This window comes from Homo sapiens, chromosome 15 (genome assembly GCF_000001405.40).
Source record: "Homo sapiens chromosome 15, GRCh38.p14 Primary Assembly".
Classification (NCBI taxonomy): domain Eukaryota; kingdom Metazoa; phylum Chordata; class Mammalia; order Primates; family Hominidae; genus Homo; species Homo sapiens.
Genome location: NC_000015.10, coordinates 86,975,084 through 86,989,793, shown reverse-complemented (window position 1 = coordinate 86,989,793; position 14,710 = coordinate 86,975,084). Strand labels below are relative to the sequence as shown.

The window sequence follows — 14,710 nt, the reverse complement described above, 5'->3', positions numbered from 1 at the left end:
AATGTCATTTTGATCAGATAGAAAATTCTTAAACATCTTCTTTAAAATAGTACCTACCAATCTCTATCTTGTTCCATTTTTATTCAAAACATTGTCATATGTCATATTATTTATTTGCTTAGTTTTAAAAAAATAATAAAATCTTTATCACCATTCTTCCTTTAATCATTGCTATATACTTCTCAGATGCTAACAGAACACCCAGCACTAAGTGGGCAATTAATCAACAAATTTAATATTGGCCTCATTTTAGAAAATATTTTAATCATTTCCCATCTTAGCAGATTAAAAGGGGGAAACCCTTATAATCTCTTCAAGAGAAGGGGAAAAAAGCAGTTGAAAAAATTTAGCAATTATTTAATAATAATAATAAAATCCTTATCATACATAGACTAGAAGAAAACTCTACTAACCTAATAAAGATAATCTACCAAAAATCCATCAGACTTTACAGTAAAAGCTTAGAAGCATTGATTTAAAAATCACAAATGAGGGCTGGGTGTGGTGGCTCATGCCTGTAATCCCAGCACTTTGGGAAGCCAAGGTAAGATGATAACTTGAGGTCCAAAGCTGGAGACCAGCCCAGGCAACATAGTGAGACCCTATCTCTACAAGAAATAAAAAATCAGCCAGACTTGGTGGCAAACACCTGTAGTCCCAGCTACTTGAGAGGCTGAAACAGGAGGATCATTTGAAGCAGGAGGATCAAAGCTGCAGTTAGCTATGATCACACCATTGCACTCCAGCCTGGGCAATAGAGCAAGACTCTGACTCTTAAAAAAAAAAAAAAAAAAAAAGCAGGGGGAAAAAAATCAGAGATGAATAAGTATATTGGCAATCATCATTTTCACTCAATATTTTATTCAAAGTCCTAGCCATTCAAGTAAGAAAAATAAAATGAATAAATACTTGTCATAAATGGGACAGAAAACCCTGTCAATTCTGGGGTGATATTAATATTCATGTAAAAGAAGCATGGGAATCCATAATCAAATTACTAAAATTAATCATCAAAATGTATAACTTTGTTTCTAAACATAAGACCAAAATTTGAAATAAAGTGAGTTCTTACACACTAGCAATATACAGTTACAAAGTATAATTCGAACATACTATTTGCATTGCCAAAATATTAAGAACTGAATAACTTTTAGATAAATCTGACAACAGAAATACAAAGAGAAAGTGATAAATCCTTATGTAATAGCATTAAGAAAGGTAAAATTAAATTGTTTTTTTAATAGGTCTCCACACAATTATAAAAATATACTTCTCAAATTAATCTATAAAATGTAATATCATTGCAGTGTACCTCAAAATGATATGAATAGGTATTTTAAAGAAAAGAAACAAGAATCAACAGCAAGCAAGACATTTACCAATGAAACCTTGGTGTATATTTACTAACAAAACCACAAAGGGATCCACCAATTGAGATCAACATCTACTGGCAGATAGTAAGTACTGAGTTCTATGCATACAGAACAACCAGTAATCGTATTCATTTGTGTGAATGTAAATCGTTGCAACCACTTTGGAAAAGAAGTTGGCATTGTCTTGCAAAGCTGAAGGGTATGTTGTTTTTTTGTTGTTGGCCCACCCATTTACTTTCTCTTTGTCCAGTCCCAATGTAGTCACATGCAGGGTATTTCATCCAGCAATCCCCGCCCCAAGCAATGTACAATCAGGAAACTGACATACTCACGGGGAGACATGCAGAAGAAGGTTCATCTTGAAAAAGTTTGTAATGGCAAAAAAGTGGTAAGCAAACCAAATATGCTTTGGCAGGAAATTGGATGATTTTAATCTGTAATGTTCAGATAAATGAGTGGTACAGATTGGTGAAAATAAACCATAGTGTCACATATTATTATAGATGGATTTTAAAAACATATTATTGAGTGGGAAAAACAAACTTTAATAGGATATATATAGTAAGATACCAGCAACATAAGGTCAGAAACATACAAATATTTATAATCTATTTCTTATTAAAATATACATAATGTATGGTAAAATATATGGTGGTCTAAGAATCTGATAAAAAATTAAGAGTGACTATCATTGTCAGGAATGTATGGTACCGTAGTTATGAATAAAGGAAAGGAAACACGATTATATCATTAGATGCGGAGAAACCTTTTGATAAATTCCAATACCTATTAATGATAGAAACTATTAACAAAATAGTAAAAGAAATGGAAGGGAAAATTTCTCAACCTGATAAAACTAATTAAAAACAGCCAAATTTCACCACTTTTGTTTAATAATATAAAAGGAGGACTTGGCCTGTACGGTAAGTCAAGCAAAGAAATAAAAGGCATACAATTTGGAAATAAACTGTCTTATTTGTAGTTGATAAATCATGAATACAGAAAATTCTAAAACATCTACCTAAAAGGTTTTTAGAAGTTTTTAGAATTACTAGATACACTTATGTATGCAAAACAATGTACAAAAATCAACTGTCTTTTTATGTACTAGCAATAGCAATTGTAAATGTAATGCAAAAACACCACTGACAATGATGTCAACTGTCAGGCCTCTGAGCCCAAGCTAAGCCATCATATCCCCTGTGACCTGCACCTATACATCCAGATGGCCTGAAGTAACTGAAGAATCACAAAAGAAGGGATATTTAAATGGTCTGTTCCTGCCTTCACTGATGACATTCCACCACAAAAGAAGTGAAAATGGCCGGTCCTTGCCTTAACTGATGACATTACCTTGTGAAATTCCTTCTCCTGGCTCATCCTGGCTCAAAAAGCTCCCCAACTGAGCACCTTGTGACCCCCACTCCTGCCCGCCTGAGAACAACTCCCCCCTTTGACTGTAATTTTCCTTTACCTACCTAAATCCTATAAAACGACCCCACCCATATCTCCTTTGGCTGACTCTCTTTTCAGACTCAGCCCGCCTGAACCCAGGTGAAATAAACAGCCTTGCTCACACAAAGCCTGTTTGGTGGTCTCTTCACATGGACGCGAGTGAAATCAATGAAACAGAAAACACTTAAATATAAATTTAACAAAGCAGGTACAAGATTTGGACACTGCAAATTACCAGCATTAATAAAATAAACACAAATAAATGAAGAGATGTACAATGTTCATCTATTGATCATTCAATATTAGTAAGGTTCTCTCAAACTGATCTATAGATTCGACACAACCCCAGTCTAAAGCACACCAGATATATGACTCCTCTACATCTTCCTCCCCTTTTTCCTCCTCCTCCTCCTCCTTTTTGCTATTATTTTTGTAGAAATGGATAAGCTGATTATAAGATGTATATTATATGAAAAGGCTATACAATGACTACAAGTTTGAAAAAGAAATAAGTTGAAAGACTATCTGATTTCAAAACGTATTATAAAGTAATTAAGAAAGTACGGTAGTGTGTGTGTATATGTGTGTGTAAATATATATGTATATAGTTGTAACAAGCTAGGAGTCCAGAAATAAATACCCACATGTCAATTGATTTTTATAAAATTTACCTAGACAATAGAAGAAATAAACTTTTTTAAATTTAATTCTTTACAGATAGTACTCTAACAATTGATATCCTGGCCGGGCGCCGTGGCTCACGCCTGTAATCCTAGCACTTTGGGAGGCCGAGGCGGGTGGATCACCTGAGGCCAGGAGTTTGAGACCAGCCTGGCCAACGTGGCGAAACCCCGTCTCTACTAAAAATACAAAAATTAGCCGGGCATGGTGGCAGGCACCTATAATCCCAGCTACTTGGGAGTCTGAGACAGGAGAATGGCTTGAAACCGGGGGACAGAAGTTGCAGTGAGCCAGGATCCTGCCACTTCACTCCAGCCTAGGCGAAAGAGGGAAACTCTGTCTCAAAAAAAAAAAAAAAAAAAGATTGCTATCCATATAAAAAAATAAACTTTGACAATTCACATTGCATACAAAAGCGAACTCGAAATGGAACATGGGACTAAATGTAAAAGCTAAAACTATAAAACTCTTAGAAATAAATATGGAAATACAGTTTAGATACAACAGCAACAATATAAACCATAAAAGAAAATGTTGATACGTTGGACTTCGTTAAAATTAAAACCATTTTTCCTTTGAATACCACCACTGGGACAATGAGAAGGTAAGCCACAGAGTGGAAGAAAATATTGACACAACACAAATCTGATAAAAAAAAAATTGGAACAAAAAATTTTTACAAATCCTAAATGAGAACGCAAACAACCCAATATAACATGGGTAAAATCTTGAATTGACACATCACCAAAGAAGTTTTAAGGATGGCAAATAAGCATATGAAAAGCTGCTTAGCAGCGTTAGTCATCAGGGGAAAGCAAATTAAAACCATAATACGATGTCACTGCATACACATTACTAAACTAAAATTAAAAAGGCTGACGATGCCAAATGCTGATGAGATATAAAGCAACTGAAATTCTCATACATTGCTGGTAGGGGTGTAAAATGATACAACTATGAGGAAATCATTAGGAAGTTCCTGATTAAGTTAAACACAACCTACCATATGAACCAGACATTTCATTACCAGATACTTACCCAAGAGCAATGAAAATAGATGCCTACACAAAGCATTGTACATGAATGTCCATAGAGGTTTTATTCACAATAAGCAAAAACCAGATATAATCCAAATTCCCATCATTAAGAGAATGGAAAAACACAATATAGCATATCTACACAATGTACTACTATTTTGCAATAAAATTAGGATACTACTAAAACATGCAACCACATAGATGGATCTCCATGAATGAATCATTATGCTGAGTAAAAGAAGTCAAAAATAAAAACTGAATGTTTCAATTTATAAATCGAAAAACCTAGAAAATGCAAACTAACCTATTTTGACAGAAGGCAGATCATCGGTTGTCTGTGACCAGCCAGGAGTGGAGGCAGGGATGGAAGTATTTTGTATATATTGTAGTGGTGGTTTAACAAGTGTATGTGTCTGTCAAAACTCATTGCACTGTGAATTGTAAATGGATATTTTTTTAATGACACCGTTAAAATAAAAAAGCAAGCCACTAACTGGGAAAAATATTGCACCTATATGTATATGAGAGAGGTCTTGTCTCCCAACTATATGAAGGACACTTAACTCAATCATAAAAAGAAAACAGGCCGGGCGTGGTGGCTCACGCCTGTAACCCCAGCACTTTGGGAGGCTGAGGCGGGTGGATCACAAGGTCAGGTGTTCAAGACGAGCCTGGCCAAGATGGTGAAACCCTGTCTCTACTAAAAATACAAAAATTAGCCAGATACGGTGGCAGGTGCCTGCAACCGCAGCTACTTGAGAGGCTGAGGCAGGAGAATTGCTCGAACCCAGCGGGGCGGAGGTTGCAGTGAGCCGAGATCACGCCACTGCACTCCAGCCCGGGCGACAGAGTGAAACTCTGTCTCCAGGAAAAAAAAAAAAAAAGAGAGAAAAAAATGGAAAACAATCTACTTTGAAAAAATTGACAAAATATGTCAATAGACACATTTCCAAGAAGATCTACGAATGATCAATAAATACATAAAAAGATATTCAACATCATTAGTCCTCAAGAAATGTCCATTTAAATAATAGTAGCTAAAATTAAAACAAAACTTTGAACTAAGCCTACCTAATGAATATGGATTACCTGAAACCTCCCTACATTTCTGGTGGGAATGTAACATGAGTACTAACACGTTGGGAATGTTTTAAAGTTAAACATAGGACTTACCATACAACCCAAAAATTTCTCCCCTGGGTACTTATCCAAGAGAAATAAAATGATATGCCCACATAAAGCATATGCCTATACTTGTATATAAATATTTTAGGATCCAAATTAATAAGAAACACCTTAATTGTCCAGCAACAGAAGAGTGGGTATGCAAACCGTTGCATACAGTGGAATACTACTCAGAACTCAAAGAGAACTACCTATGTACACAACAACATGGATAAATCTCAAAGCACTATATTGCACAAAACAAGCCAGAGACACCAAGTACTTTTGTATAATGTACGATTGTATTTATATAAAATTCTAGAACACTGAAGACTAACCTATATTGACAGCTGATACTGGTTGTTTGAGGCTGGAGATTAGGAAAGGGGCTACTTGCAAAGGAACGCATGGGAACCTTTTGGAGGTAACAAGTCTGTGTTCTCTATCTTGATTATGGGTATATATACTTGTCAAAAGATATCAAACCATATACTTAAAATGTATGCATTTATTGCATATAATTACATCTGAATAAAGCTGAGTTTTTAAAAATTCAAAAGAGGGGTTAACATAGTCAGGAAAGACAAAAGAACATCAAAAGACCTTCAGGGGTATTGCTGATATTTCATCACCAGGTCATAAGGTAGGTGTTTGGCACAAGAATTTTTGTTTTATTATATTTCAAGCCTTATATACTCATCATATATATTCTTTGTGCGAATGAAATATTTCATAATAAAAAATAGATTAGCCATGGTCTGGGAGATGATAGTAGCCATGCATATAAGTGACAAAGATTAATATACTGATTATAATAGAAGATCCTGCAAATCAATAAGAAAAGATAAACACCACAGTAAATATTAGGCAAGATATATTAGTAAGCAATTTGAACAAGAGGAAATGTGAAGATCAATATACATTCAAAAAGAAGGTCAACTCAATAGTAATCATGGAAATACTAATTAGAACCATAATAAGACACCAATTATCACAACAAAAACAAAACAAAAACAAAACAAAAAAAGGTGTGATAATAGTAAATTCTAATGAAAAATGGAAATTTAAATTTGTAGAACCACCCTGAAAAGCAAATTCCAGTCAACTAAAAAATGGCGTATTCTGATCTAGACAAACTCACAGGTTCTCAAGAATATACAGCTGATCCTTGAACAGCATGAAGATGAGGGGTGCCGCTTTTCCCATTTGGTTAAAAATCCTTGTATAACTTTTGACTCCTCAGAAACTTAACTACTCATAGCCTACTTTGACCAGAAGCCTTACCAATAGCAAAAACAGTTAACACTTATTTCGTATTATATACTGTATTCTTACAATAAAGTAAGCTAGAGAAAGGAAAATGTTATTAAAAAAATCACCAGAAAGAGAAAATATGTTTACTGTTTACTAAGTGGAAGTGAATCATCATAAAGGTCTTCATTTTCATTTTCTTCACATTGAGTAGGCTCAGGAGGAAGAAGAGGAGGGGTTGGTCTTGCTGTCTTAGGGATGACAGAGGCAGGCGAGGTGGAGGAGGTAGAAGAAAAGGCAGACACACTGTTTCATCTTTATTGAAAAGAATCCATGTATAAGTAAATGAGATCACATTCATATTGTTCACAAGTCAACTGTATATAAATATTCCTATCAGCTATGTTTATAATAGCAAAAAAAAAACAAGATAAAAGAAAATAAGAATGTACCACAAGCTAAATGTCCATCAACATTATACAATGTATACTATAAAAGAGTAAAATAGGTATCAACATGAGTGAGTTTCAAAACATAATTATGGGTGAAAATATATGTTCTCTGCTTAATGAAATTGGAAATGTGCATATTTGACAATTTTAAAACCATTCTGCCTATTATTTGGGATGATATAACTATATGATTAAATATAAAGAAGTTCTTAGGGATAAGAAACTCTTTCTGAGGGCAGTAACTTTTTCTAGTTTGGGAGGACATTAAGAAGAATGTGATCAGCATGAGGTACCTGGGGCCTTCATCGTTTTGATGATCATTTCTTAAGCAGAATATTCATAACATGAGTGTTCATGATATCCTTACTCATATTTGGTCTGTTGAAAATATTTTACATTATAATTTTTAAAGTAATTATAGGAAGCAAAACAAATAAAGAAAATTAAGAATGAGAAGAATTTTCTGGTCCCAGGAGGAATCATTCTGCTGGACTAAGATCCACTTACTCTCTGTGCCTCTTGTGCCATAATCATCTCAGATGTCTTTACAAAGCTGATGGTTTAGAATGGTGATGGATCCTGTTTTCCTGTTTTGTCCCAAGGCAACTTTCATTTTTCTGGGCCTAGAAGCTGGCTTAACGGGGAGATATTTTGGTCATAGGCATTCAAAGAAAAAACAATTTAAATCAAGCAAGGACCATCATTTCAAACTCAAAAAAAGGTGCAACTGTATTAAAAGTTTCAAAAGTATTCTGCATTTCTGTGACGAAAAACAATCAAAATCTATGTCAAAGGTTTATACTAGAACTATGTAAAGAGCACTTACAAGTCAAGGAGAGAAACCAAGGAGATACATGGACAAAGATCATGAACAAAATACTCATATAATAGTGACGAAGAGCTGAGAAACATATAAAGACATTTCTTATAAGTAATTAATGAAATTCAAATTAAACAAACATTAGCTTTTCTGTCCATTAAACAGGCAAAGTTTGAAAAACAATGACCATGGTGTTGCACAGACTGCAGTAAGACTGAGACTGTACGATGCAACTAATGAGAATGAAAATTGATAAATTCTTTCTGAAAGCACATTATTAAAATATACTAATAAATTTAAAATATTCATACATTCTGGTTAAATAATTAATATTGTAGAATATTCACTGAGGAGATACTAAGAGATGTGAACAAAAGTATACTTATAAGAATGTTTTTGCAATCCCAGCACTTTGGGAGGCCGAGGTGGGTGGATCACCTGAGGTCAGGAGTTTGAGACGGGTCTGACCAATATGGTGAAACCCTGTCTCTACTGAAAATACAAAAGTTAGCCAGGGGTGGCAGCGTGCGCCTGTAGTCGCAGCTACTCAGGAGTCTGAGACAGGAGAATTGCTTGAACCTGGGAGGTGGAGACAGTCGTGAGCTGAGATCACACCACTGCACTCCAGGCTGGGTGACAGAGCAAGACTCTGTCTCAAAAAAAAAAAAAAAAAAAGGATGTTTCTGAAGCACTATTTATATTTAGTAGACAGTAGATAAAGCTTCAATGATCATGAAATTAATTATGTTCATATAATCATAAGTGGTTTTAAAATAATATATAATTTGAGTTTTTAAAATAATAGCAAGAGAAACGAATGAGAACTCAATATTTAATGAAAAAACATGATGCAAGACTCTATTTAGTATGATGTCAATATTGTATTGTGTGTGACTAGTGGAATCTACGTTTTTGTCCATTTTTGAGACAAATGAAGGAGGCATATTTTCTCAAAAAATCTCTCTAATATGTCTGCTGCAGCCCACAACCTAGGAGAGAAGTTTACGATTTTCTTAGAGGAGGAATGGAAGTTACTTTTTAAGTATCATTGACAGAGGATTAGGCTTCCCAGGGAAGATGCTTTCACAGAATTCGCTGAGCCATTTTCCACTGATGAATTTTGCAGCCCCTTTGCAGTATGAATCTGACTCTGACATTGATATACACAGCAGCCAATGCTATTTTTTGGAATGCTCCCGCAGGTGGCAAAATCTCCCATTCAAACAGAACATTAAATATAGTTTAAAATCACAATAACACACAAAAAAGCAATCAGCAGGCAGCTCTAACTTCTGGCCACCGTCTATAAACAGGTGGTGAAATTCTTGTACCAACCAATTATTCAGAGAATATTGGATAAAATCAATGGCTTCAACTACACTTCTGATTTAAAACTAGGATCTGATTACTGAGTTGAGTTGCTGCTCTAGGAGGGCAAAGAATTCAGGATTGAGGTTAAAATCAAATAAGATGACAAAGGTTTTTTCTTTTTAAGAAGCTCCTTCCTAGATTTCAATCCCAACAATTTCTCAGGCTATATTTGGAGATAAGGGCATTAGGGGAGAGGAAGGGAAAAGAAAGTGAGAAATTGCTCTCACCTGTTAAAAAGTCTCTTAGTGGATCCCAGTAAAAATCACTTGGTAGATTTCTCTCTGTTGTTATGGGATGGGAAAGGGAAACAGTGAGATGTGTATGAGATGGGGCCAAGAGGGGTCCTTCACTCTAATATGGTTTCAAGTTCTTCAAGAAAGTGCCTCTGGCCGGGCGCAGTGGCTCACGCCTGTAATCCCAGCACTTCGGAAGGCCAAGGCGGGCAGATCACGAGGTCAGGAGATCGAGACCATCCTGGCTAACACGGTGAAACCCTATCTCTACTAAAAATACAAAAAACAAACAAACAAAAAATTAGCCGGGCGTGGTGGCGGGCACCTGTAGTTGCAGCTACTCCGGAGGCTGAGGCAGGAGAATGGCGTGAACCCGGGAGGCGGAGCTTGCAGTGAGCCGAGATCGCGCCACTGCACTCCAGCCTGGGCAACAGAGGGAGACACCATCTCCCCCCCGCCAAAAAAAAGAAAGAAAAAAAGAAAGTGCCTCTACATTGCTTTTAATTATTGGCTCACTTACCTGTGTGTTTTCAAATAATCTACTCTTAAATTGTATCATGTATTAGATATAGTAAGATAACTGTGATTTTAGGACATTGGGGGAAACAAATGTGCATTATAATTGTGGATAGTTATTTTATTTGAAATAAGGTGCACTCGAATTTTTGTTTGCATTTTCAATATTGCACTGCATTTCCCAAATTGTCATAATGGATTTTTCTTAAAGAGCGGCTTATTCTTCATGATTTATATTTTAATTGCTCAGATAGACACATTTTTAGCATTTTAATAATTTAAGGACAAGTGACCAAAATGTGTAGAAATAGTTCAGTTTTAATGACAGTTTAGATGAAAGCATCACCAAGCATTACAAGTAGGATTTACCTCCTCACACTGTGTCATGCCAGTGAATAGGATACAGGTTTTCTGAAGCCTGTGCCTTCACCAGTTCCAGAATGCTCAATACAGACATGTTAATATCTCCTTCAGTTTGAGTGTGAATTTGAAAAGCAAGAACTCATTAAATGATTCCTGTCAGTTTTCTGCCTCAATTCTCCACCTCTTATGGGTTCCCCCTGACTGGATCCACTGGACTATGTAAGTTCAGATTTATTTCCAAGGAGAAAATAGGCTGATGACAAGACATAGTAAGAGGCTCCATATCTTGCCAGTCTGAGAGGCCTTAATATTATTTGTTCTTTTACATGAACTGCAGTGACTTAGAGCTTATCTCTAAGTTCTTCCCTCCTGCCCAGCTCACAGCCTGACCCCAGAGGTGCTAACGTGATCTGATTCTGAGGGCTTCAGTAACCACATGTTCACTCCTTCACCTGGGATCCTTTGGTGGGGCTAGGTTTCTGAGCTGGTTTATATTTTGGTCCTACATCAGTAACTTTTCTGAGTCATTCATTTTCTGTTAAGGAGCACTACTTGTTTTACCTTGCTGTAGGGCTGCACGAGTACTTAAACCCCCAGCTTTGTAAGTCAGGCTCTGCAGCTCATAGACATTTCCCAGAAGCTATTTGTCTAAATCTTCGTTGCTAAATTTGGTCTGCCTCCTACTTTTAGAACTTTTGAATATTTATGACCATCACTAATATATGTGCCCTAACTGAAACTTACAATCGCTTTGTGCTATCTGGTCAATTCCATTGACCCTATTCCCCTAACCTAGGAAGAAGATCTACTTTCATTCTCTGAACCTTAGTGTATTCTTTTTTTAGTCTTGTTGCAAGTCTGTATATGGCATTTCAGATATGAAAATTTCAACCTAAGTGTGTGTTGACTTACTTGTAAGGTTAACAGACAATAGTGGTTAGGTAGTAGTCTGTGAATTTGGCTGATGGAATTACTTATAGACAGTTTTAACTGAATTAGAAAAGTAAGCATTAGTTTAAAATAATACTGCTTTTATCTAAAAAATTATTTATAAAAGACTACATGATAGTCTTAGAAACATGATAGCTTAGAAGATAATTTTGATAAAATTTAACATTTCTTATTTTAAATATCCTTAGTAATTCAGGAGTAGAATGATTCTTCTGGGGCTCCACAATCAACTTAATAAACAAGCTAAAGAGGCATTCCCCTTAAATTTGAAAATTAAGACATATTTCCTTATTCAGTAGTCAATATCGATCTAAAAGTTTTTAAGTAAGCAATAAGAAGAGAAAATAACATCAGAAATAATCATACAAAAGTAGGATGCAAATTCATAATCATTTGCAAGAAAATGAAATCTAGTAGACTTAAGTAATTAATTACATACTAAATTCATAAAACCCAATAATTTTCCTATCATTATAATAACAACTCAGAAAAATGTAATGACAAGAAATAAATCTCATCTATAATTGCAATAACAGAAATGTAATGCTTAGGAATAAACTTGACAAATATTATATTGCAGTTAAGGAAAATAAACAGCTTTTTTTCAATATATAAAAAGATTTGAATAATGGCATAAATTAATCTCTAATTTTAATGTGCAATGACTATCCAATGATATTTGATGAGTTCTTTTTATCTATAAAAATAAATGTATCACAATAGTAAAAAAAAAAACTTTAATAAAGAAAAAGGAACAATAAGGAACTTACCACACATTACAATTTATTATAAAATTAATAAAGTAGTTTTCTATTAGCTTAGTAGACCGCTAAAACTGCATACAAAATCCAATGCCAAAGTCAAATATATATAAGATTTGCTATGTGTTATGAGTGGCACATGAAAAAATGAATTTTTATATAAGTGATATTTGATGGAACAAATGAAAATTTATTTGGAGAAAAAAATGGAAAATGTTACCTCATAACTTATAGCACCAGAAATATGAAATCTTTATATAAGATGTAAAACACACACACACAGAGCATAAAATACCTGAAGAGAACAATAAAAGATGTAACTTTCACTATATTAAAATGTGTCACTTTACAGCAAAACAGTGAGTCAAAATTAAAAGACATCAACAAATTCAGAAAATATAACATGCTGCAAATGTAGTATAAGTATCTTTGAAATATATATGAAGACATTTATAAATCACTAAGAAGACAAACAACTTGAGTGAGGACAGCAACAGATCCATACACGACATAAACAAAGTTGTTTTTGAAATGGTGAATATGCGTATATACGAATAAATATATGAGCATATCTATCTGTGTTTATGTATAAATTCCACTCTTTTTGTAATAAAAAAGATACGAATTTAAAAAAAAATCTACAAATTTTGTCTATCAACTTTGAAGAGTTTAAAAGGAGTATAGGAATAATATTGTTGAGCTGGGTATTACATCTCACTAGTGTAAGAGAGCTTTAGAATTACTTTCCTTTTAAAGACAATTTGGCAGTATGAATCAAAATATTAGACTCAGTAATGCCACATTTAGAAATATATCCTAAGAAAAAGGCATGCAAAAGTTAGCAAAACAGTTGTTTATTCTAGCGTGTTTATAATAAAATATTTAAAATCATCCAAATGCCAACAATAAGCTTTAGTTAAATAAACTGGGGTACTTGAGAAAGAAACAAACAAATGCAATGCTATTTAGCAATTAGAAATTATATGGGTAAAGAACATCTAATGACTTGAAAATTTTTTTATGATATATTTCTAAGTTGTAATAAAAAATTTATGAACAATATATGCCCTACCATCCAAAATTATACATGGATACATATTCACATATATATACATATATACTACAGATATATAAGCATATATATTACTAGAATAAATTATAATTTCTTAAATAATATAATTTATTAATACATAAATAAGTAAAATCATAAATAAAAATATAATAAATGATTTAGCCTATGTGATAGATCTAAAATTTTTTATCCTATTCATACTTTTATAATTTTAAAACTTTCTACAATGAATATGTGTAACCAACATAATAATTTTAAAGTATATGATTTTTTTGCTTATTTACTCAGTTATTCATTCACATACTCAGCTATCATTACTGAGCAGCTGCAGACAGTTTATTAGGTATGAAGTTAAACTGCTCTGCTGTCATGGGGCTTGCAGCCTAATGGGATAGCCAGGCCAAACAATCATGCAGAAATTCCATGATTTCAAACATTTTGGCTATCTAGGAAAAGAACTGACCAGGTGTTCTTGAGAATTTATAACTGCGATCATATTTAGTCTGAAGACCCAGAGGATGCTTTCCTGCAAAATTGACATTTAAGCTGAAAGACAGGTTGAGTGTGGGATGGTTAAGCAAAAATAAGGAAAGAAGTTCTCAGACAGAAGGAACATCATTTGCAAAAGTCCACTGTGTCAGGAGGGAGCCTGAAACATTGTGCTTTAGAAACATTGCAAATATTTGCTGATGAGGTTGGAGCATGGAGAGCAATGGGAATTTTTGGAGACAGGGTCTTTAGTTGTAAAATAAGGGAAATACTTTGTCTTTGATATGGCTTGACTGTGTCCCTACCCAATTCCCATCTTGAATTGCAGCTCCCATAATTCCCAGGTGTCGTGGGAGGGGCCCTGTGGGAGGTAATTGAATCATGGGGATGGGTCTTTCTCTTTCTCGTGCTCTTCTGGTGATGGTGAATAAGTCTCATGAGATCTGATTTTTGTATAAAGGGGAATTTCCCTGCACATGCTCTCTTGCCTGCCACCACGTAAGAAGTGATTTTGCTCCTCCTTCACCTTCTGCCATGGTTGTGACACCTCCCCAGCCATGTGGAACAGTGAGTCAATTAAACCTCAGTCCTTTATTAATTACCTAGTCTCCGGTATGTCATTATTAGCAGCTTGAGAACAGACTAATACAGTATCCTTAGAGCAATGGGAAACCACTGTGGGACATTTTATCTCTTTGCTCCTCTCAAAAAAGCTCCAGAA

The 14,710-nt window shown here is 34.6% G+C and overlaps 1 protein-coding gene and 1 long non-coding RNA gene across 3 annotated transcripts in view, besides 2 other annotated features; one reads left to right on the top strand and one right to left on the bottom strand.

Annotated features, from left to right (window-relative positions):
• Nucleotides 1-14,710, bottom strand: part of AGBL1 (AGBL carboxypeptidase 1) — a 951,857-nt gene that overhangs the window by 41,683 nt on the left and 895,464 nt on the right. Inside the window, exon 24 of one of the 2 annotated variants that reach the window (NM_152336.4) lies at nt 1,706-1,807. The exons of the other annotated variant lie outside the window; for it this stretch is intronic. Coding sequence (NP_689549.3) covers nt 1,706-1,807 — 102 coding nt within the window. The remainder of the gene's footprint in view (nt 1-1,705; nt 1,808-14,710) is intronic. 2 annotated transcript variants of the gene reach the window in all.
• Nucleotides 1,220-1,861: an enhancer, noted in NCBI's record as "OCT4-NANOG hESC enhancer chr15:87531164-87531805 (GRCh37/hg19 assembly coordinates)". NCBI's record gives its function as "activates a minimal SCP1, AML or CMV promoter by ChIP-STARR-seq in naive and primed H9 embryonic stem cells {active_cell/tissue: H9 hESC(naive and primed)}" and the evidence as "EXISTENCE:reporter gene assay evidence [ECO:0000049][PMID:30033119]".
• Nucleotides 1,368-14,710, top strand: part of LOC102724452 (uncharacterized) — a 49,630-nt gene continuing 36,287 nt past the window's right edge. The window contains exon 1 of the long non-coding RNA NR_135683.1: nt 1,368-1,457. This is a non-coding gene — a long non-coding RNA (uncharacterized LOC102724452). The remainder of the gene's footprint in view (nt 1,458-14,710) is intronic.
• Nucleotides 2,275-3,221: an enhancer, noted in NCBI's record as "NANOG-H3K27ac-H3K4me1 hESC enhancer chr15:87529804-87530750 (GRCh37/hg19 assembly coordinates)". NCBI's record gives its function as "activates a minimal SCP1, AML or CMV promoter by ChIP-STARR-seq in primed H9 embryonic stem cells {active_cell/tissue: H9 hESC(primed)}" and the evidence as "EXISTENCE:reporter gene assay evidence [ECO:0000049][PMID:30033119]".